Genomic DNA, 21,955 nt, shown 5'->3' on the forward strand with positions numbered 1-21,955 from the left:
CATCTGAGCAGAGATCTCAACAAAGTGGAGTGCACCACAGGAAGATTTTAATTAGCAATGTTGGTGCCCAAAGCCAGCAACTGACAGGGCCCTCAGACCAGCTTTGTAATTCATGAGGAAGGGGTGTGAGCCAGGGCTGCATCTGGTGGCTCCTTATTCCAGTAAATTACAGTAATAATAGATGTAGGACCCTTTTGTTTCCACCTGCTAAGGCAGTACCTACTGTCAACATGTAACTTCAACAAATTAAGACGTGAAACAGTGTTTCATAATCACAATTAGGCATTTCTGTTATACTTCATGATCAGAGGCTTAGGCAAGGTCTGACCCCCTCTCCAGCTGTGGCTTGTATCCAAGACCCAGGGCAGCTCCATGCCTCAGCACCGGGGCCTTCCTGGCTATGACCCAGAGAGCAAATGCTCGGCAGAGTCCAGAAGCTCAAGTCAGGAAGATAAATGAAGAGAGTTGGAATGGACAGGGGCAAGGACTGGGATTTCAAGATTCTCCACCACTCTGATTTGGCCAGGAGCATTCTGACCTCTGCCAGGAGCTAAAATGTGCCTCCCTGTGGTCTGAGAAAGGATTGGAGTCACTTCATCCTTTAAGCATAGATGCAGAAGGCTAGGGCTACTGGGACTATTCCTGTGGTTTGGAGAAGCGTTTCTTAGACAGGCTGTATCAGAATCATTGGAGGTTCTCTATTTGAAGTGCAGTGTCCGGGCTTCCTCCCAGACCTCCTGAATCAGAGTTCCCAGAATCTGCATTTTAACGTACGCACTCCCAAGTCAGAATAGCTGGTTAGTTGGCAGTGGGGCTGGGGGAGGGGGGCAGCCAATCAGAAGAATATTTGCTATTGGGATTGTCCTGGGAATGCCAGGGCACACGCTTGCTGTCCTGCCGTGAAATGGCCACCTCCCCAGATATGATATCCTTTTGCCTCATAGAATTGCGACAGGAATAAGGACAGGAATTTCAGAAGTTTGCAGAGTAGATTTTCCTGCTGTGAGGCAGTGTATGTGAGAAGGCTCTGCCTTCCTTCAAATGAGAAGGAAAAAGAAAAGAAAAAGCTTTATATATATGTATATATATTTTGGAGGCAAATGTGTCACTTTCAGATGGGTTCTTTTCCAGTCTGGGCACAATTTTCATTTCTCTCTGGTGAGTCATTGCAGACGTTGGCTTTTTCTCACTGCCTCTTGTTAGCAAAGGACATATTTCATGGAAGGGCTGAGACCCATCTGGGGCAGGCCTGGAAAATCTACTCTGCAAATCCAGGTAGAGGACCCACTGGGGCTATCACGGGGCCCTACACAGTCCTGTGCTGTGGGAGCCTCAGAGACTCCCGGCAACCAAGGCAATGGGCACTTTTCCCCCTTCCTAATTAGCCCTCCTTGTTAACTCACATCTTGCCCTTCCATGCGTTGTTTCTAGACTCTCTGGGCCACCATCCTGCTGGTTTTAATGAGAAAAAGTCCACAAGTACCTTTCGGCATTCATTCACGTAATCCATCAGTAGTATAGCATAGCAATTAAGGACATGGGTTCTGGGAGTTGTCCTTTAGTGGCTCCCTGTTTCATCAAAGTCAAAACCGAAGTTCCTGCCATGACCACGAGGCCCTCCGTGATCTAACCCCTGTCACCTAAGTTTATCTCCCCTCACTCACTCAGCTCCAGCCACACTAAACTCCTCGCTGCCTCTCCAACATACCATAGATGTGCCCACCCCAGGGCCTTTGCATAGGCTGTTCCCACCTCCTGTGATGTTTTTTCCTGCAGATCTCTGCATGACTCATTTCCTTTAGATCTCCGCTCAAATGTTGCCAGATCACCTTGACCACCCTATATAAACAGCAGACCCACTTCAGCCATCACTAACCCTCTTTCTTCCCCATAGCATTTATCACCACCTGACACAGTATTTATTGACTTGTATTTTTCTTTAGGATATGTTTCTTCCGCTAGAATGGTAGCTCCTTGTGGACGAGCACTTTGACTTGATTACTGTTATTTTCCCAACATCTAGACTTTGACTAGCACATTATAGGCCTTTAATAAATAAGTAAAGATTGGTTGATTGAACGAATTAATGAATTCATTAATGAATGAATGCCTGGACCTGTTCCTTACTAGCTGTGTGACCTTGGGCTCCTTAGCATCTCTGAGCCTCAATAAAATGGACATGGCTATAGAGGTTTGCAAGATAAAGGAGATAATACAAGTCTGTTTGTAAGCTTTAATAAAATACCCGAGACTGGATAATTTATAAAGTACAGAAACTCATTTCCTCTGAAGCCTAGAAAGTCCAAGATCAAGGTGCCAGCAGGTTAAGTGTGTAGGGAGGGTTCCTTCCTCATAAATGGTGCCATCTAGGTGTCCTCCTGTGATGGAAGAGGTGGAAGGGACAATGTGTTCTCACATGACAGAAAAGACAGAAGAGCCAGGCAGCTCTCTGGAGCCTCCCTTATGAGGGCATTAATCCCATTCACGAGGGTGGAGCCCTCATAGCCTAATCACCTCCCAAAGCTCCAACATGAATTTTGGAGAGACACAAACATTCAAACCATAATGGCATGTAAGTCCTTTGCATGGTGACTGGCACACTCAAAGCTCTCGATAAACGGTGGCTGCCCTGGACTCTTACTGCTTTAGACCAGCAAAATAAGGTAGAATGTGCTAAATAAAATCGAAGGTGCTTCCAAAGGACTATCACGTAAAGAGATGGCAGGTTTTCTACCCAGGTGGTTGGAATGAGGGAAGGCTCCTTGGCGGGTGGCATCTGAGGTGGGCCTGGGGCCGGGCAAGGGTCTCAGGGGGTCAGCGTGGGGTTTGTGGAAGGGTGGTATGGGAAGATGGAACAGCGCGAACAAAGAGGCAGAAGGGAGAATGTTCAGGGACAGGTCAGATATGTTCCCTGAACTCCAGAGGCTGCAAACAGGAGGGGGAGGGGAAAGCAGAATAAGGAGATGGAAGCATTTTTTTCCTTTCTGGAAGAAGAGAGGCTGGTCGGTGCTTTCCAAAAGCTGTACAGCAGTGAAATAAAACAAGAAGTCTGATTTACAGCCCCCTTCCTGGGGCAGAGTGCTTCACAGTTAGTAACGCAGTCTTCTGGGAATCATTTTGTTGGCAAGTCACAGCCTTCCTGAAGAGAGGCAGAAGTTATTAGTTGTTTATGATTCTGGTATTGAGGTCACCTGCAAATAACTCTGAATGGGATATCACATCCAAAAGAAACCAGTCGGTAATGGTGGGATTTCTGGGCACTGTGGCCTTCTGCTGTCCTATAGACTGGGAGGAAATTCAGAGCACAGGTGTCAGGGGAAACTAAGAAGGATGATGCGAGGGAGAAAGACTGAATGGTGAGCTTTGGAAAGCAGGAGACCATGCATTGTCATTCATTCATTCATTCATTCATTCAATGAACACTGAATGCTTACCATGTATAAAACAGTATATTCAGTCCAGGGGCCCAGGGGCCAGGACTTTAGACACTTTGTATATGTTTAATTTTCTACCTGATTTTTTTAAAGCCTTCTGTAACCTGAGGAGGTTGGGGAGGCAGCATAGGTTTCATGTCACATGACATGTCATCCCCAGTTGATTTGTTGTGGCTAACCAGAGAGTTCTGATACTACAGTGTGGATTTAGCAGGATAAAATCTGGTGATGGGTTCATGATATCAGCCATGGGTTTAGGATGGGAGAATGGTAGGACAAATGCCACATATTTGCCACTGCAGGAATGAATTCTATAGATACCTATAATAGGCTGACCTGAAGGTTTGCAACAGAATAAAAATAGTCTCTTGACTCTACATAGTTGGTGACTATGACATGGCTGATCGCTTACCATGGAGAGCTGTGAAAATTCAGGACAATAAAGGTGAAAAGAATTGGCACTCTAGGTGATAACTCAGAAAGATAGTTCCCCTCCAAGAGGTGGTGTCCCAGGCTTTTACCCTTGTCTGATCCACCTGTAATTTAACACTTGTTTAAGGCATCTTCTCCAAATATTTGACTTTGCTCCCATGGAGACTTTTTGCACTCATATTTCACCTTATTGTGTCATGTGTAATTCATTCTTACCATATATAATACAACTAGAATAAACAAGTTTGGAAACAACTAACTTGGGACTAAGGTGACTCTTACTCATTGTACAACTGAATAGTTGGGAGCAGAAGGTGTAAAAACGAAAGCTATTGGGGCACTGTGTTTTTGGGTTTTTTTTGTTTTGTTTTTGATTTTTTTTGAGATAGAGTCTCGCTCTATCGCCCAGGCTGGAGTGCAGTGGCACGATCTCAGCTCACTGCAAGCTCTGCCTCCCAGGCTGACGCCATTCTCCTGCCTCAGCCTCCCAAGTAGCTGGGACCACAGGCGCCTGCCACTACACCTGGCTAATTTTTTGTATTTTTTAGTAGAGACAGGGTTTCACTGTGTTAGCCAGGATGGTCTTGATCTCCTGACCTCGTGATCCGCCCGCCTCGGCCTCTCAGAGTGCTGGGATTACAGGCGTGAGCCACCGCGCCCAGCCGGGTCACTGTGTTTTACAAGTGGCAGGGGTGAGGGACTTTGACTAATTCAGTGAATCAGTTAAGTGAAGGTCAGTTAAGACAGCTCTTCCTACTAATACACAGTTGTCTTTTTACTAAAACTATGGATTTACCCTACACATACACATTCTGTTTTGTAGCCTCCTTTTTTTTTTAACTTAAACAAGTATTAGAGACATCTTTTCATGTCATCAAATACTCTTCCCAACAATATTTTAAATGGCTACGTGGGATTCCATGTTAGGGATCTATGATTTAATGGATCCCCTGTTACTGGACTTGCATGTAGTTCCCAGTTTGGGACTATTAGAGGGAACATTACCTTTTGGATCCCAATATGGTTAGTCGAGGGCCCTGAACACTCCCTGAATGGTGAGTGGTGGAAATGAACATTAAAAGAGCATAAAGGATGAGAATCTAAAATGGTGCAGCCACTATGGAAAACAGTATGGCAGCTCCTCAAAAAATTAAACATAGAATTACCATGCCACCCAACAATTCCGTTTCTCAGTATATACCCGAAAGAATTGAAAGCAGGGTCTTGAAGAGACGTCTATATACACCCATGTTCATAGCAGCATTATTCACAGCAGCCGAAGAGTGGAAGCAGCCAGTGTCCATCAGAGGATGAATGGATACACAAAATGTGGCGTATTCATACAATAAAATATTATTCAGCATCCAAAAGAAAGGAAATCCTGTGATATGCTACAGCGTGGATGAAACCTGAGGACGTTATGCTAAGATAAATCAGCCAGTCACAAAAGGGCACGTAGTATATGAATCTGCCTATATGAGGTCCCTGGCGTACTCAAACTCATGGAGACAGAAAGTGGAGACCAGGTGCAGTGGCTCATGCCTGTAATCCAAGCACTTTGGGAGACCGAGGCAGGTGGATCTCTTGAGGTCAAGAGTTCAAGACCAGTCTGGGTAACATACTGAAATCCCGTCTGTACTAAAAATACAAAAACTTAGCTGGACATGCTGGCATGTGCCTGTGATCCCAGCTACTTGGGAGGCTGAGGCAGGAGAATCACTTGAAGCCAGGAGGTGGAGGTTGCAGGGAGCCGAGGTTGTACCACTGCACACCAGCCTGGGTGACAAAGCTAGATTCTGTCTCAAAAAAAAAAGACCAAAAAACAGGCCGGGTGTGGTGGCTCATGCCTGTAATCCCAGCACTTTGGGAGGCCGAGGCGGGCAGATTGCCTGAGCTCAGGAGTTCAAAAGCAGCCTGGGCAACACGGTGAAACTCCATCTCTACTAAAAATACAAAAAAATTAGCCAGGCTTGGTGAGGTACGCCTGTAGTCCCAGCTACTCAGGAGGCTGAGGCAGCAGAATTGCTTGAACCCAGGAGGCGGAGGTTACAGTGAGCCAAGATTGCGCCACTGCACCCCAGCCTGGGCAACAGAGGGAGAGTCCGTCTCCAAAAACAAACACACAAACAAACAAAACCAAAAAAAAAAAAACAGAAAGAAAAACAAAGTGGGGCCAGGCGCAGTGGCTCACACCTGTAATCCCAGCCCTTTGGAGGGCTGAGGCAGGCGGATCACCTGAGGTCAGGAGTTCAAGACCAGCCTGGCCAACATAGTGAAACCCTGTCTCTACAAAAATACAAAAATTATCCCGGCATGATGGCAGGTGCCTGTAATCTCAGCTACTCAGGAGGCTGAGGCAGGAGAATCACTTGAACCCGGCAGGCGGAGGTTGCAGTGAGCCGAGATGGCGCCATTGCACTCCAGCTTGGGTGACAGAGCGAGACTTGGTCTCAAAAAAAAAGAAAAAGGAAGTGGAATGGTGAGTGCCAGGGGTTGAGGGAGGGAGAAATGGAGAGTTGTTCAGTAAATATAGAGTTTCAGTTTTACAAGATAAAGAGAGTTCTGGAGATTGGTTGCACAACAATATGAATGTACTTAACATTGCTGATCTGTACACTTTAAAATGGTTAAAATGGTAAATTCTGTATTATATATATTTTACACAATTAGAATTTTTAAGAGAACAGAGGAATAGATATAGGTATTAAGTATAACAGCTGCTAAGATTATTAGAAAATGAGACAAACAGACATTATATACCACCTAGAGAAGCCAAGCCCCACCTGCAGTCTGACCAAAGGGATCAATCCTGAGCCTGAGCCAGTCTCTGGATTCAGCTGGCAATTCACAGGACGATCACAGGACAGAGCAGTGTGTTGAACAGAACCTCGAGTGTGCAGTCAGCAATGTCAGGCCAAGGGAGATGCAACAGTCAAACTTCCAGATTCTTTCAAGGAAAAAGTATAAGGAAATAAAAGGATGAATGAGGAACTCACAAATTTAAAAAGAATTAAAAGGCAGCAAATTTTTCAAATGATCAAGAATGTAGTATCTAGGTATGTACATTTGAGTAAGAAAACAATTTTAAGGCCAGGCGCGGTGGCTCACGCCTGTAATCCCAGCACTTTGGGAGGCCAAGGCGGGTGGATCACAAGGTCAGGAGTTCGAGACCAGCCTGGCCAATATGGTGAAACCCCGTCTCTGTTAAAAATACAAAAAAAATTAGCCAGGCGTGGTGGCAGGTGCCTGTAGTCCCAGCTACTCAGGAGGCTGAGGCAGGAGAATAGCTTGAACCCGGGAGGCGGAGCTTGCAGTGAGCTGAGATTGTGCTACCGCACTCCAACCTAGGCAACAGAGTGAGACTCCATCTCAAAAAAAAAAAAAAAAAAAATTAAAAGACACAAGAGTGATTCCTTAAAAGTCAGGACAGTGGTTTCTTGTGGGGGCCATGGGTGGGATGGGACACATATGAGGAGCACACAGCAAAGTTCTCTTTCTCATTTATTTATTTATTCTTGAGATGGAGGCTTGCTCTGTCGCCCAGACTGGAGTGCAGTGGCATGATCTCGGCTCACTGCAGCCTCCACCTCCCAAGTTCAAGTGATTCTCCTGCCTCAGTCTCCTGAGTAGCTGGGATTATAGCGTGGGCCACCACGCCCAGCTAATTTTTTGTATTTTTCATAGAGATGGGGTTTCACCATGTTGCCCAGGCTGGTCTCAAACTCCTGACCTCAGGTGATCTGCCCGCCTCGGCCTCCCAAAGTGCTGGGATTACAGGCGTGAGCCACTGTGCCCAGCCTTGTTTATTTACTTATTTATTTATTTATTTTTGGAGACAGAGTCTTGCTCTGTTGCCCAGGCTGGAGTGCCGTGGCGTGATCTCGGCTCACTGCAACCTCCACCTCCTAGGTTCAAGCAATTTTCCTGCCTCAGCCTCTGAGTAGCTGGGATTACAGGCATAAGCTACCATGCCCAGCTAATTTTTTGTATTTTTAGTAGAGACAGGGTTTCACTATGTTGGCCAGGCTGGTCTTGAACTCCTGACCTCGTGATCCACCCACCTCAGCCTCTTAAAGTGCTGGGATTACAGGAGTGAGCGACCGCGCCTGGCCTAAATTTTCTTATAAATTCATATTGCCATGTCTAAATACCTCAGGGAGCAGTGACTCCAGAAAACCATACAAACCTAGCACATGAATTAATGGATTATTATAAGAATTCTGGAGATGGATGGTGGCGATGAGTTCATGGTTGCGTGGTTGTGAATGTAGTTAGTATCATTGAACTGTGCATGTAAAATGGTTAAAGTGGTAAGTGTTTTAGTGTAGGTATTTTGCCACAGTTAAAAATAAATAGGCTGGGCACGGTGGCTCATGCCTGTAATCCCAGCACTTTGGGAGGCCGAGGCGGGCGGAGCACGAGGTCAGGAGTTCAAAACCAGCCTGGCCAACATAGTGAAACCCCCGTCTCTACTAAAAATACAAAAATTAGCTGGGAATGGTGGTGTGTGCCTGCAGTCCTAGCTACTTGGGAGGCTGAAGCAGGAGAATCGCTTGGACCCGGGAGGTGGAGCTTGCAGTGAACTGAGTTTATGCCACTGCACTCCAGCTCGGGCAATAAGAGTTGAGACTTCATCTCAAAAAAAAAAAAAAAAAAAAGGAAAGAAAATTTAATTTAATGTGTAACAATTCAATCAATGCACTGGTATCTGCTGCAAGACACGTCCATTCAGTCTACCCTGAATTCCCAGGAAGATTTCTTCCTAAGATGACCTTAAATTGACAAATCCTTTAATGTTAGACCTTGTCAAAATGCTTTAAGGAGCTGTTTAGTTTCTTTCTTATTTATTTTAATTGTGGTAACTTAATGTGTTGTTTTTTTTTTTTTTTTTTTTACAATAAATTTTTCTGAAAAAGGAAGGAAGTATTGGCTACAAACAGAGTAGTCACGCAGACCAAGGTTAAAATCCAGATTCTGCCTTTTGTTAGCTCCGTGACTTTTGGCAAATTACTTAAGCTCTCTAAGACTCAATTAGTAATCTGGAAAAGTAATTGTAATAGTAATTACCTCCTAGCATTGTGGTGGGACTTTAATAAAACAATACCTATCAATCCCCTAACACCACGCCTGGCCTGGGGTAACTGCTATATATGTTAGTTGTTTCGTTCCAAAAAGAATTGGACCTGGGTCTAAGAAACCCCAAGTGCCACTGTCAGCTCCAACCCTGACTTGCTGTATAGTCTTGGTAAAGCCGCCTGTCTCTGAGGCCGGTTACCTCATCACTGTCCTGAGAATCCCTGTCCTCTGTGAGAACAGTACTGCTGAGGTGCAGTGTCCTGTTTGTTGGTATGCAAGGGGCTTAGGAATGAGGCTGCCGGTGCTTGGGTTTCCTACAACCCAGTGCAGAGCCTGCAGCCACTCCAGCAGGCAACTAGCAAGAGGCGGTGTGGAGCTGCAGGGCTGCCCATGCACACCGGCAGGTGAAAATGCACCTTAGACACACAGCTGAGACGGTAAATTGGTTTCCGTCATCCTGTGCAGGGAAGATCATGCTGGTTTTACCCTTCTTGTTGGGCTGCCTCTTGTAAACCTTGTTTGCCCTCCTTTATCGGGCTGCGCTGAACTTAAAGAACAGACAAGTTGAGGTTCATTATAGCAACCCCAGGGAAGGGTGGCCTACCTCTCAAAGATTCACTTTTTCCCCCTGCATTTCTCTGTTTTATATAAGTAAAATAATAATGTACACATTATTTTGCTGCATTTCATGATTTTATGATTGTTCTATGTCAATAACAAAAAAAGAAAACCAATCACAGAGACAGTCAGTTTTATTCAGAATCCTGCTTCCCCAGGGGCATAAAAGAGACGAATCCCCAATTCTTTAACTGAGATGAGAAGGAGAAATCAAGTTCAATGTTAAATAGACTCTCTGGAGTCACTACCCCCAAAGTATCTGGGCGTGGGAATATGAGTTTATAAGAAAATTTGGTTTAAAGTGTAACAACTCAATCAATGCTGTCTACCACAAGACACCTCCATTCAGTCTACCATGAATTCCCAGGAGGATTTCTTCTTAAGATGCCCTTAAGTTGACAAATCCTTTAATGTTAGACCTTGTCAAAGTGCTTTAAGGAGCTGTTTAGTTTCTCATTTATTTATTTATTTTTAATTGTGGTAAAATATCTGTAACACGGGGCCAGGTGCAGTGGCTCATGCCTATAATCCTAGCACTTTGGGAGGCCGAGGTGGGTGGATTGCCTGGGCTCAGGAGTTTAAGACCAGCCTGGGCAACACGGTGAAACCCTGTCTCTACTAAAATACAAAAAAAATTAGCCGGCCATGGCAGCATGCACCTGTAATCCCAGCTACTTGGGAGGCTGAGGCAGGAGAATCGCTTGAACCCAGGAGGCAGAGGTTGCAGTGAGCCGAGATCACGCCATTGCACTCCAGCCTGGGCAACGGAGCGAGACTCCATCTCAAAAAAAAAAAAATGTATATATATATATCCATAATACTTACGAGTTTAACCATTTTATATGCACGGTTCAGTGACACTAACTACATTCACAACCATGCAATCATGTGCCCATCACCACCCATCACCACCATCCACCTCCAGAACTCTTCACTTTGCAAAACTGAAATTCTGTACCCATTAAACACTAACTCCCCTTTCCTCCTTCCCGCAGCCCCCGGCAGCCACCATTCCACTTTTTATCTCTATGAATTTGATGGCTCTAGGGACTTTATATAAGTGGAATCATGCAGTATTTCTCTTTCTCTGATTGGCATATTTTACTTAGCAGAATGTCCTCAAGGTTCATCCAGGTGATACCACGTGCCAGATGCCCTTCCTTTTTTAAGGCTTAAAAATATTCCATGGTATGTGAGGACCACATTCTGTTTCCCCATTCATCTGCTGATGGACATGTGGGTTGCTTCCACCTTCTGGTTATTGTGAATAATGCTGCTATGAACATGAGTATATCAGTTTCTCTTTAAAAGTGTCCAGTAATCCTTTATTCCAGTGATGGTGTAGTTGTTCAGATTGTACAGGGGAGCATCTCGGCTAGATACCAGTAGTCACTTAATAGCTCTCTTGAACACCCACAGTCAGGAACTGGGTAAATAGCAAGGTGGCAGGAGGCACAGGACGGGGTGGGAGTGAGGGTGGGTGCAGCCACAGCTGGAAGTGTGCACAGCTGGAACTTCCCAGCATTGAGCAGGTCCTCATGGGAACAATTTATGAAAACTATGATTATTTTTCCATTTCCTAGACTCTGTGATTGTTTTCACAAGAAGCTAAGTGGTTTCTGTGTGATTATATATCCCAGGTGTTGTGTGGAATTTTAACTCAAATACCAAAATCTAGGGCGATTTGCCTATCACGCATCCATTTATTCCACTTCCTCCAGCAAGTTCACAGCACTATGTAAAATGCTTAGAACCAGTGGAGGTTTTTGTGAGTTCTGGAAAACAAGAGGAGGGAAAAATCAATGGAGAAAAGCAGGAGTGAAGCAGATAGCCACTGAGAAGAAGAAGATGGCAGGCTGACGGGAAAGTACAGCGGCCGAGTGTCTGCTGGCGAGCTGTGCGTCAGGGCCCACTTGCACAAATAGTAAGGCAGAACTAGTGGCCCCCTAGACCCAGGGGGCGTTTAGAGGTCCTGGGAAACATAAACTCTCCATCCTAAGACAACACTACACCCTCCCACTCCTAATCAAGGCCCTTACATTCCACCATTCAAGCGCATTAAATAATAGTTGTCCAAATGTGTGGTAAAGGATTTTCTCTTTTCAGAGCCACTCTTTTAAAATGCAGACGCTCCAGCCGGGCGCGGTGGCTCACGCCTGTAATCCTAGCACTTTGGGAGGCCAAGGCAGGCGGATCATGAGGTCAAGAGATCAAGACTATCCTGGCCAACATGGTGAAACCCCACCTCTACTAAAAATACAAAAATTAGCTGGGCATGGTGGCGCGTGCCTGTAGTCCCAGCTACTCAGGAAGCTGCGGCAGGAGAATCGCTTGAATCCAGGAGGCAGAGGTTGCAGTGAGTCGAGATCGCACCATCACACTCCAGCCTGGCGACAAAGCGAGACTTCGTCTCAAAAAAAAAAAAAAAAAAAAAAAAAAAAGTCCAGGCACAGTGGCTCATGCCTGTAATCCCAGCACTTTGGGAGACTGAGGCAGGTGGACCACAAGGTTAGGAGATCGAGACCATCCTGGCTAACATGGTGAAACCCCATCTCTACTAAAAATACAAAAAAAAAAAATCAGCCGGGGGTGGTGGCGGGCGCCTGTAGTCCCAGCCACTCGAGAGGCTGAGGCAGGAGCATGGTGTGAACCCAGGAGGCGGAGCTTGCAGTGAGCAGAGATGGCGCCACTGCGCTCCAGCCTGGGCGACAGAGCGAGACTCCATCTCAAAAAAAAAAAATGTGGACGCTCCTTACAGAGCTCTCCGAATTTCAACACCCTTTAGAGTTCCTCCAGCTTGACTGTTCTCTAGCTGCTCTGAGGGGCCTCTGGGGAGTGTGGGGCAAAGAGGGGGAGTCAAGTAGACAGGGCTCTGGGTTCCCCCACTCCACTCCAGCTACAGCAGCAAGCTGCTTCTGTCTTATATAAATTGTTACATAAACCAGTAGTTGCGCTACCAAGAAAAGGGGGAAAGGGAAATGTTTGAAAAATCCCTAATCTTGAGCAACCCCCTTGTTTAACAGAGGAGGCCTGGAGAAGTTGAGAGAAGGGTTCAGCGTCACACAGCAAATTCATTCAACAAATATTTTCTACTGTGCCAAACACACAGTAAACAAAGATGAGCACACAAATCCTTGCCCTGAAGACTGGGCCCTTCTCTCCAGGATGACTCTTCCGCAGCCTTGAGGGGACACAGAGGGCACTGTCAGCAAGGAGGAGGATGGCCTTTCCCCATGACATGTTCCAGCCACATCATCCTGACACCCCAAATATGATTGAGGCCATCTCTCCTGTGCATGCAAAAGAGAACACACATTTGTTCTCTTTAGTGTATTGTGCCTCAACCATCTCATTTCACTCTTTCTGAAGCCGTGCAATGTGCATGCCTACCATGTGCCAAGCAGTTCTAGCATGTGAGGCTGAATAAGACGTGGCCTCTGCTCCCATGGATCTTCCAGCCAAACAGGGGAGAGAAAAGCTCTGCATAAATGATCACAGTACAGAGTCAGCTCTACACACTGATAGCTTATCAGCCTTGGAGTCTGGGTCAGGGAAAGAAGAGATACATCTAGCTAGGGGAGGAAGCATTAGAATAGGGCCTCACTTCTCTTTCCAAATTTCGGGTTAAGAAATTGGATGTTGGAGGGCCGGGCGCGGTGGCTCACGCCTGTAATCCCAGCACTTTGGGAGGCCGCGGCAGGCGGATCATGAGTTCAGGATATCGAGACCATCCTGGCTAACACGGTGAAACCCGGTCTCTACTAAAAAATACAAAAAAAATTAGCCGAGCATGGTGGTGGGCACCTGTAGTCCCAGCTACTCGGGAGGCTGAGGCAGGAGAATGGCGTGAACCCAGGAGGCGGAGCTTGCAGCGAGCCGAGTATGCGCCACTGCACTCCAGCCTGGGCGACTGAGCGAGACTCCATCTCAAAAAAAAAAAAAAAAAGAAATTGGATGTTGGAGTCAGGCAGCCCTTGCTTTCAAGCCCAGTGGGCCTCATAACTGTGAGGTTGGACCAGGGGCATAGGTTCCCAGAGCCTCATCTGAAAAATGGGGGTGATAATTACAGTTCCCACTTCCAAAGGTTGCTGTGGGGATTGAATGAGATAACACAGGTCCAATTCTTATCCTCGATAAATATGCCCCTTATTTAAGGACTTTAGGGATGAGGTGAAGATGAGACAGAAGCTCTTCAAAGGCTCTACCCAGGCAGGGAGAAGAGAGGGGAAAGTAGGCAACGTCAAAGTGGATGCTCCACTGCGGCTGCTAAGAGCCACTCACAGGAGGAGTGCTGGGAAGTGCCACAGGAAAGGGGGAGCAGGGCCAGGAGACCAAGGGACCCCTTCAAAGCCAAACTGAGGACTTGGGCCCCTGGAACTCATTTGTGAGTTCTAAAAATTTTCTTGTAGATTCCCCAGGATTTTCTACAAACAAGACCATGTTATCTTCAAATAGTTTCACTTCTTTCCTTCAAGTCTGGATGCCTTCATTTCCTTTTCTTGCCTAATCGCTTGGCTTCTTTTAACTCCTTTTATTTTTGACAATGTGAGAACCAGGCCTGGCCGGCTGGAGTCGGAGAGAGGGACAGACTGCTCTCTGGAAGGCTGGCCAGACACGGGAAGATATGTAGGCCTAGTCAGGCGACTGCCAGGGCAGATCTCTCAAACTCTGATCTGGCAGGCACTCCAGGTAGCCCCGAGGGATGATCAGGGAAGAGGAGACAGGTGAATGCCTCTTTGGAGCACTCAGTGACGGGAACATATTTCTGGAGCATTCAGTAACTTCATTAAGCACCTCCCCACTTCTTGGCTCTGAGGACACAGAGATGACTCAGACCCACATGTGACACCCACAGTCTAGTGAAAAAAGTCTGATCAGTAATTAAGGAATTACAACCTAGCTTTATTATTTATTTATTTACTTACTTACTTTTGAGACGGAGTCTCGCTCTGTCGCCCAGGCTGGAGTGCAGTGGCACGATCTCGGCTCACTTCAACCTCTGCCTCCCGGGTTCAGGCGACTCACATGCCTCAGTCTCCCAAGTGCTGGGATTACAGGCATGAGCCACCGCACCCGACCACAACCCAGCTTTATAAGGGTTGTAATTGAGGTCTGTGCAGAGTTCAGCGAAGCCCTGGAGAAGGAAGTGAATTAACCCAGCCCAGAGGGACGGATGAATGACTAAAAGGAAGTGACATCAGAACTGGGTTGTAAAGAACTAACTGAATGTCTTGCCAGGGTAAGAGGATGAGAACAGGCATTCCCGGCAGGAGAGCAGCATTTGTAAAGGTATGGGGTGTACACGAGCAGGGCCTATTTGGGGAGAGTGGAGAATCAGAGATGAGGCTGCACAGTAAGGTGAGACCAGGTGGAAAAAGCTCTGTGTGATGGGTCGAAGGTATTGACATATACTAGCCACTGCCCGGCACCCTCCCTCCGTTTCCGGAGTAGACCTGTTTGCTTATCTCGTGGGCATTTGCCAGGCTGATTAGAGTAATGAGTAAAGAAAAGAGGGCACTGGGAAAGCTAAGTTCATTTATATTAGAAATTACATGATACTCTTCCATAAATCAGAAAGATTGAAGAGTGGGTGAAAGAAGGGAAAAGGGAATTAAAGGGGAACCAAGGCAACCTGAAGTTTTTGAGAGAGAGAGCAGGAAGATTTGAGGATGAGCAGGTGATGCTGTAGCTGGCGCTATGTAGCGACAGATGGGAGAAGTTCTTTGTGATGGTTTTGCCTCTTTGAGAGTCTTCAGTAAAGGTTGAAGTTACTTTTCCATATCGTTTTATTTTCTGGATGTTGGACTTGAATTTCTTTTTAATGTGATCATGGGGCCAGGCGTGGTGACTTATGCCTGTAATCCCAGCACTTTGGGAGGCTGACGCGGGTGGATCACTTGAGGTCAGGAGTTGGAGACCAGCCTGGCCAACATGGTGAAACCCCGTCTCTACTAAAAATACAAAAAAATAGCCAGGTGTCATGGTGGGTGCCTGTAATCCCAGCTACTCAGGAGGCTGAGGCACGAGAATCACTTGAACCTGGGAGGCAGAGGTCGTAGTGAGCCGAGATGGCACCATTGCACTACAACCTGGGTGACAGAGCAAGACTCAGTCTAAAAAAAAAAAAAAAAAAGAAGATACCATGTGTAGACTTTATTTGGGTTGTTACCCTTGTATCACACATGTGGGGCCAGGGTGCTTCTGTATATCCTGACAACAGTGGCCAGCCATTAAAGAGTTTTGAGTAGGGGAACTGGATTTGTGGTTTTAGAAAGATCATTTGGCTTCTGTGTGAAAGAGGCCAAAACCAGGAGCAGAAAGACCAGTTAGGAAGCTGTGACAGCAGTTGAGAGACGATGTTGTCAAAGTCTGCAGCAGAACAGAACAGGGGTGACCCCACATGGACATCATCTCTGCTCTTCAGTCACCTGTAGTGCAGAGTTTTGAAGTAGGTCTGAGCATGGAACCGTAGTGGTTGGGAAGGAAATGCCATTTGCCTATGGGGTGATTAAGATCTTTTTTTTTTTTTTTCCTCAGGCGGAGTCTCGCTCTGTCCCCCAGGCTGGAGTGCCGTGACGTGATATCAGCTCACTGCAGCCTCCGCCTCCCTGGTTCAAGCAATTCTCCTGCCTCAGCCTCCCAAGTAACTGAGATTACAGGCGCCCGCCACCACGCCTGGCTAATTTTTGTATTTTTAGTGGAGACGAGGTTTCCCCATGTTGTCCAGGCTGGTCTCAAACTCCTGACCTAGGTGATCTGCCCACCTCAGCCTCCCAAAGTGCTGGGATTACAGACGTGAGCCACCACGCCCGGCCTTACCTTTTCATTATGTAAATACACACCCAGAAGGAGGCCTGTCTGAGCTGCACAGGACTCTGGTCTGCACCTGAGCATCTTCCTTTCACTTCTGGAGTGCTTGAAGAGATCTAGACAAGACCACTTTCTTTGTGGTTTCTTGACTTGCCCACACCCCCTAGGAACTTCCTCTCTCTGAGAGTGAATAGAGTCTGTCCTTAGATAGCACTTGCCTGAGGAAGCAGCCAGAAGTAAGATTTGCTATCAGTTACTAGGGAAATGATTGCTGTTGGAGCTGGCCAATTAATCAGCAGGACAGAAAGTTCTTGGATGAACTAGGACAGGCCCCAGCCATCCCTAAGGCATATCAAAAACGAGGGGAGAATTGGGAGTCTTATTCACATTTCCATCTCTAGTGGCTTGGCCTAGCATAATACCTGGTACCACATTATTGTTTAATTAATAGTTCCTGAATATATTAATGAATTAGCATAACATGAAACTCTGAATGTGGTCATGTTGGGTCAGAACTGTGGTGCGTTAAAGGCAGGATTCATCTACTTATTCATTCATCACTTACTGAACTCCTCCTACCATAATTCAGCTTTAGTTAGGAAAGTGATTCACAATATTGGTTGCATTGGAACCATCTGGAGAGTTTTAAAAATCCAGGCCAGGCACAGTGGCTCGTGCCTGTAATCCTAGTGCTTTAGGAGGCCAAGGCAGAATTGCTTGAGGGCAGGAGTTGAAGGTCACAGTGAGCTGTGCTCATGCCGCTGCACTCCAGCCTGGGCAACAGAACGAGAACCTGTCTCTAACAAAATTTTTTTTTTTAATCCTGAAACCCAGAGATACCCCAGACCAATTACACCAGAATCAAATCCAGGAGTGGTGAGTCCTCAGCATCAGTATTTTTTTTAAAGCTCTGTTCATGATTCCAATGTGCAGCCAAGTTTGAAAGCCACTGGGCTAGGTGCTGGAAATATAAGTGAATATCACAGTGCTCCTGCCCTTGTAGGGATCAAAGTCTACGTGAAGGACACCTGAATTCATTCTGTAGAATATAGTGGGCCGAGCACAGTGGCTCATGCCTGTAATTCCAATACTTTGGGAGGCCGAGATGGGTGGATCACCTGAGGAGTTTGAGACCAGCCCGGCCAACATGGCAAAACCCCATCTCTATTAAAAAAATACAAAAATTAGCCAGGCGTGGTGGTGCGTGCCTGTTGTCCCAGCTACTCGGGAGGCTGCGACAGGAGAATCGCTTGAACCCAGGAGGTGAAGTTTGCAGTGAGACGAGATCTTGTCATTGCACTCCATCCTGGGTGACAGAATGAGAGTATGTCAAAAAAAAAAAAAAAAAGAATATAGTGGTAAATGCCTTAATAGAGATATGGAAACAATACTGTGGGAACCCAGAAGAAGAAATGCTTAGATATGGCTAAGGGATACAGGAAAGCTTCAAAAAAGAAGGAACAGTTAAGATGGACGTCGTAGAATAAATAGAAGTTCATTGACATTTTCCTTCCCTCTGCCTCCCTCCCTTCCTTTTTCTTCCCATCTTCTTTATCAACCTTTCCACCTTTCCTTTGTCCTTTTCATTCTTCTCACCTACTTTGTTTCAGATGGGCTCTGAAATAGGCCCATAAGGAGACAATAGTAAACATAAATGAAATGCTAATCTGCAAGACACATCCTCTTCCTGGAGAAGAGAATACTGTGTGTAGAGCCCCCAAAAACTGAAAGAACCTGGGGTGTTTGGGGACAGCAAGTTCATTTTTGCTGGAGTGCTGTGGGTCAAAATATGGAGGAAATGTCATACCAACAGCCTAAGGAGTTTGAACTTTTCCTTCAAGGCATTTAGGAGCAAAACAATATATGACGAGATTTAAGACAGTGGTGTTTACCACATCTTGGGTGTTACCTGAAGTGACTGTAAATGGTACAGAGATGTACCATTAATTAAAATTGACTCTCACAGATTTTCAAGTCTTAACTTGTATATTTCAGTCCTGATTACCTCCAAGAGAGTCTCAATTTGGTGCTGGGAGGTTTTCAACCTCCCATATAAGATGGGTTTTTAACCCATCTTACTCTTGCTAAGGTTTCTCTTTAACAAAGCAAAGCCTTCCTCACAATATCTGGCTAGAATTAAATCACATTGTTTTATTGTCATCTTGTTTATGCCTATGGAAAGTTCTGTAGATAACAAAAAAAATGATAACTTGTTTTTCATACGTGGTAGTGAAATAAACTTAGGCAAAAAAGTGGATCCATTTAAATACATATATAAAGTAAATGGTGGTATAGGAAAGACATAGATCAGCAAGAATTATAATGGGAATAAGTTAGTAACTGAAGGAGAAAAATGTGGATTTAGAAAGATTGCTTGCAGTTGACATGGGTGGGGACTAGAGGGGGTGAGATTGGAAGCAGGCTGGCCAGATAGGGGGCTGTTGCAGTATCCCAGGTGAGAGCAAACTTGAGCTTAGACCAAGTCAGCCTCCAAAGGATGAACAAAAGGAGTAGGTGGCTGGCCTCTAGAAGGCCAGTGACGGACAGGAGACACCAGAGCATGTTCTAGGGAGGTGACACTGACTGAAGTCCACTGGGTAGGTTCAGGGGAAGATGAGAGAGACCAAGTCCCAGGGCCTGACTCCAGGTCTAAGGTAGTGAAAGTACTGGGCGTGAAGACAAGAACTTTAAATTCCATTACTGGCCTTGGGTGCCAAGATGAGCTCATACACAGAAGAATCAAGGAGCAAGAGGCAGCTTGCTGCTGGATCCCAAACCTGGCTGGGCACCACATTCACCAGGGGAGCTATTAAAAAACAGAGTCATCGGCACCAGTCCAGACCTACTGGATCCTACTGAATCGACTAAGCTGGATCCCAGTGTACGATATATTTCACAGTTCCTCTGATAATTCTTATGAACCCAACCTGGATGTAACCACAGTGTAAAAGCCCTTGCTACACAGTGAGGTTCGTGGGCCAACAGCATGAGCATCACCTGGGAGCTTGTTAGAGATGCAGAATCTCTGGCCCTACCTCAGACCTCCTGAGCCATTTTAATGAGACTCTCAGAAAACTTATTTGCATATGAAGGTTTAGGAAGCACTGGCCTAGACCACTGATTTGTTTAATCCTGGCTGCACACTGGATCACCTGGGGACCTTTAAACCATAGTGGCTGGGAATCTGGGAGTGCGGCCAAGGTATCAATATGAGTTTTTTTTTACATTAAGCCTTTTAGGAACACTCAGTTGTAGGAAATAATATAGAGGAATCCTGCATACACTTTACTCAATTTCCTCCAGTGGTAGCATATTACAAAACTGTAGTAAAATATCACAACCAACATATGGACATAAAGACAGTCGAGTACAGAAGAGTTCCGTCACCAATGTTGCCTTTCTATAGCCACATCCCCTTTCCTTCTCACCTCCCCCATCCCTAAACCCGGCAACCACTAATCTGTTCTCCATTTCTGTAATGGTGTCATTTCAGGAATGTTACATAAATGTCACACAGTTAGTAACCTTTTGGGACTGACTTCTTTCACTTCACATAATTCTCTGGAGACTCATCCAAGTTGATGGGAATAGGACTGGTGCATTTCTTTTTACTACTGTGTAGTATTCCACAGTTGGTTGGTTGCTCATTCACCCATCAAAGGGTAGCTGGTTGTTTCCAGCATTGAGCTATTATGAATAAAACTGCTATAAGCATTCATGTTCAGTTTTTTTTTCTGGGCAAATAAGTTTTAGTTTCTTTGAGATAAATGTCCACGAGTGCAATTACTCAAGTTTATGGTAGTTACATGTTTAGTATTTTAAGAAACTGCCATACTCTTCCAGAATGGTTGTATCATTTTACATTCCCATCAGAAATGTATGAGTGACACAGTTTCTCTGCAGTCTTCATCAGCATTTGGTGTTGCCACTGTCTTTTATTTTAGCCATTCTGATGGCTGTGCAGTGATATCTCGTTGTGGTTTTGACTTGCACTTCTCTGATGGCTAGTAATATTGAACATCTTTTCACATGCGGATGTGCCATCTGTATCATCTGTTTGATGAAATGTTTCCTCATATCATTTGCCCATTTTCTCATTGGATTGTCTGCTTTTTACTGTTGAGTTTTGAGAGTTCTTTATATATTCTGAATAGTAGTCCTTTCTTAGATATGTGGCTGGCAAATATTTTCTCCTTGTCTTTTTATCCTCTTAACAGGGTCTTTCACAGAACGAAAATTTTCCTTTTGATGGGGTCCAATTCATTGTTTTTTCTTTTTATGGATCATGTTTTAGTCACAAGTCTAATAACGTTTTGCTTAGCTGTGGATCCTGAAGATTTCCTCTAATGTGTTTTTCTACAAGTTTTGTAGTTTACATTTTACACTTAATGGTCTGTGGAGCATTTTGAGTTAATTTTTTTTTTTTTTTTTAGACTGAGTCTCGCTCTGTCACCAGGCTGGAGTGCAATGGTGCAATCTTGGCTCACTGCAACACCGCCTCCCGGGTTCAAGCGATTCTGCCTCAGCCTTCCAAGTAGCTGGGAATACAGGTGCGTGCCACCGTGCCCAGCTAATTTTTGTATTTTTAGTAGAGACAGGGTTTCACCATGTTGGCCAGGATGGTCTCAATCTCTTGACCTCATGATCCACTTGCCTCGGCCTCCCAAAGTGCTGGGATTACAGGCATGAGCCACGGTGCCCAGCCTGAGTTAATTTTTTTAAAAGACATATGGTTTAGGTTGTTCATTTTTTGCCTATGACGTCCAATTGTGCCAGCACCATTTGTTGAAAATGCTTTCTCTCCTCCATTAAATTAATTTTGCACCTTTGTCAAAAATCACCTGAGAATATTTGTGTGGTTCTATTTCTATTTCTTGCCTCTCTGTTCTATTCTATTGATTTATGTGTCTATTCCTTTGCCAATACCACAAAGTCTTGATTACTGTAGCTATTAATATATAGTAGTTTTGAAATTGGGTAGGTCGATTTCTCCCATTTTATTCTCTTTTTCTCAAAATTATTTGAGTTATTCTAGTTTCTCCACCTTTCCCTATACATTTTAGAAGAGTCTTGTCTATATCCGTAAGACATCTTGCTGATATTTTGATAAGAATTGTATTAAATCTGTACGTTAATTTGGGAAGAATTGACATATTTACTCTGTTGAGACTTCCGATCCATAAACACTCTCCATTTATTTACATCTTTGATTTATTTCATCAGCATGTTTTAGTTTTCAGCACACAGTCCTGTACAAGTTCGTCTGAGAATGTGTTGATTTCCCTTTATTCCTTATAGATATTTTCACTGAGTATAAGAGTCTGGGCTGACAGCTCTTTTCTTTCAGCATCTGAAAAATATAATGCCATTTTCTTCTTGTCTCTATGTTTTCTGTGGGAAATCTGCTATCATTCTCATTATGGTAAGGTGTTTTTCTCTGATACTTTCAAGTTTTTTTGTCTTTCATTTTCAAGAGTTTAATTATTATGTGCTTTGATGTATATTTGGGGGGCTTATCCTGTTTGGTTAACAGCTTCTTGATTCTATAGATTTAGGTCTCTTGCCAAATTTGGGACATTTTCAGC

The 21,955-nt window shown here is 45.1% G+C and overlaps 1 protein-coding gene and 1 long non-coding RNA gene across 5 annotated transcripts in view, besides 1 other annotated feature; one reads left to right on the forward strand and one right to left on the reverse strand.

The window, feature by feature from the left end:
* LOC102723663 (uncharacterized) overlaps nt 1–14,708 on the reverse strand; it is a 32,484-nt gene extending 17,776 nt beyond the window's left edge. Inside the window, exons 1-2 of one of the 2 annotated variants that reach the window (XR_001740596.2) lie at nt 14,490–14,708; nt 6,650–6,813 (exon numbers count right to left, since the gene is read on the reverse strand). This is a non-coding gene — a long non-coding RNA (uncharacterized LOC102723663). Of the gene's footprint in view, nt 1–6,649; nt 6,953–14,489 lie in introns of those variants that run through there. The other variant, XR_001740595.2, reaches the window with a different exon arrangement.
* The window catches only part of HRH1 (histamine receptor H1), a 126,320-nt gene that overhangs the window by 73,973 nt on the left and 30,392 nt on the right, over nt 1–21,955 (forward strand). Inside the window, exon 1 of one of the 3 annotated variants that reach the window (NM_001098211.2) lies at nt 14,771–14,849. The exons of the other annotated variants lie outside the window; for them this stretch is intronic. The gene's annotated coding sequence lies outside the window, so the exon portion shown is untranslated. Of the gene's footprint in view, nt 1–14,770; nt 14,850–21,955 lie in introns of those variants that run through there. 3 annotated transcript variants of the gene reach the window in all.
* Nucleotides 14,593–14,887: an enhancer, noted in NCBI's record as "tiled region #13806; HepG2 Activating non-DNase unmatched - State 20:ReprD, and K562 Activating non-DNase unmatched - State 3:PromF". NCBI's record gives its function as "activates a minimal TATA promoter and a strong SV40 promoter by Sharpr-MPRA in HepG2 and K562 cells {active_cell/tissue: HepG2 | K562}" and the evidence as "EXISTENCE:reporter gene assay evidence [ECO:0000049][PMID:27701403]".

Source organism: Homo sapiens, chromosome 3 (genome assembly GCF_000001405.40).
Source record: "Homo sapiens chromosome 3, GRCh38.p14 Primary Assembly".
Classification (NCBI taxonomy): domain Eukaryota; kingdom Metazoa; phylum Chordata; class Mammalia; order Primates; family Hominidae; genus Homo; species Homo sapiens.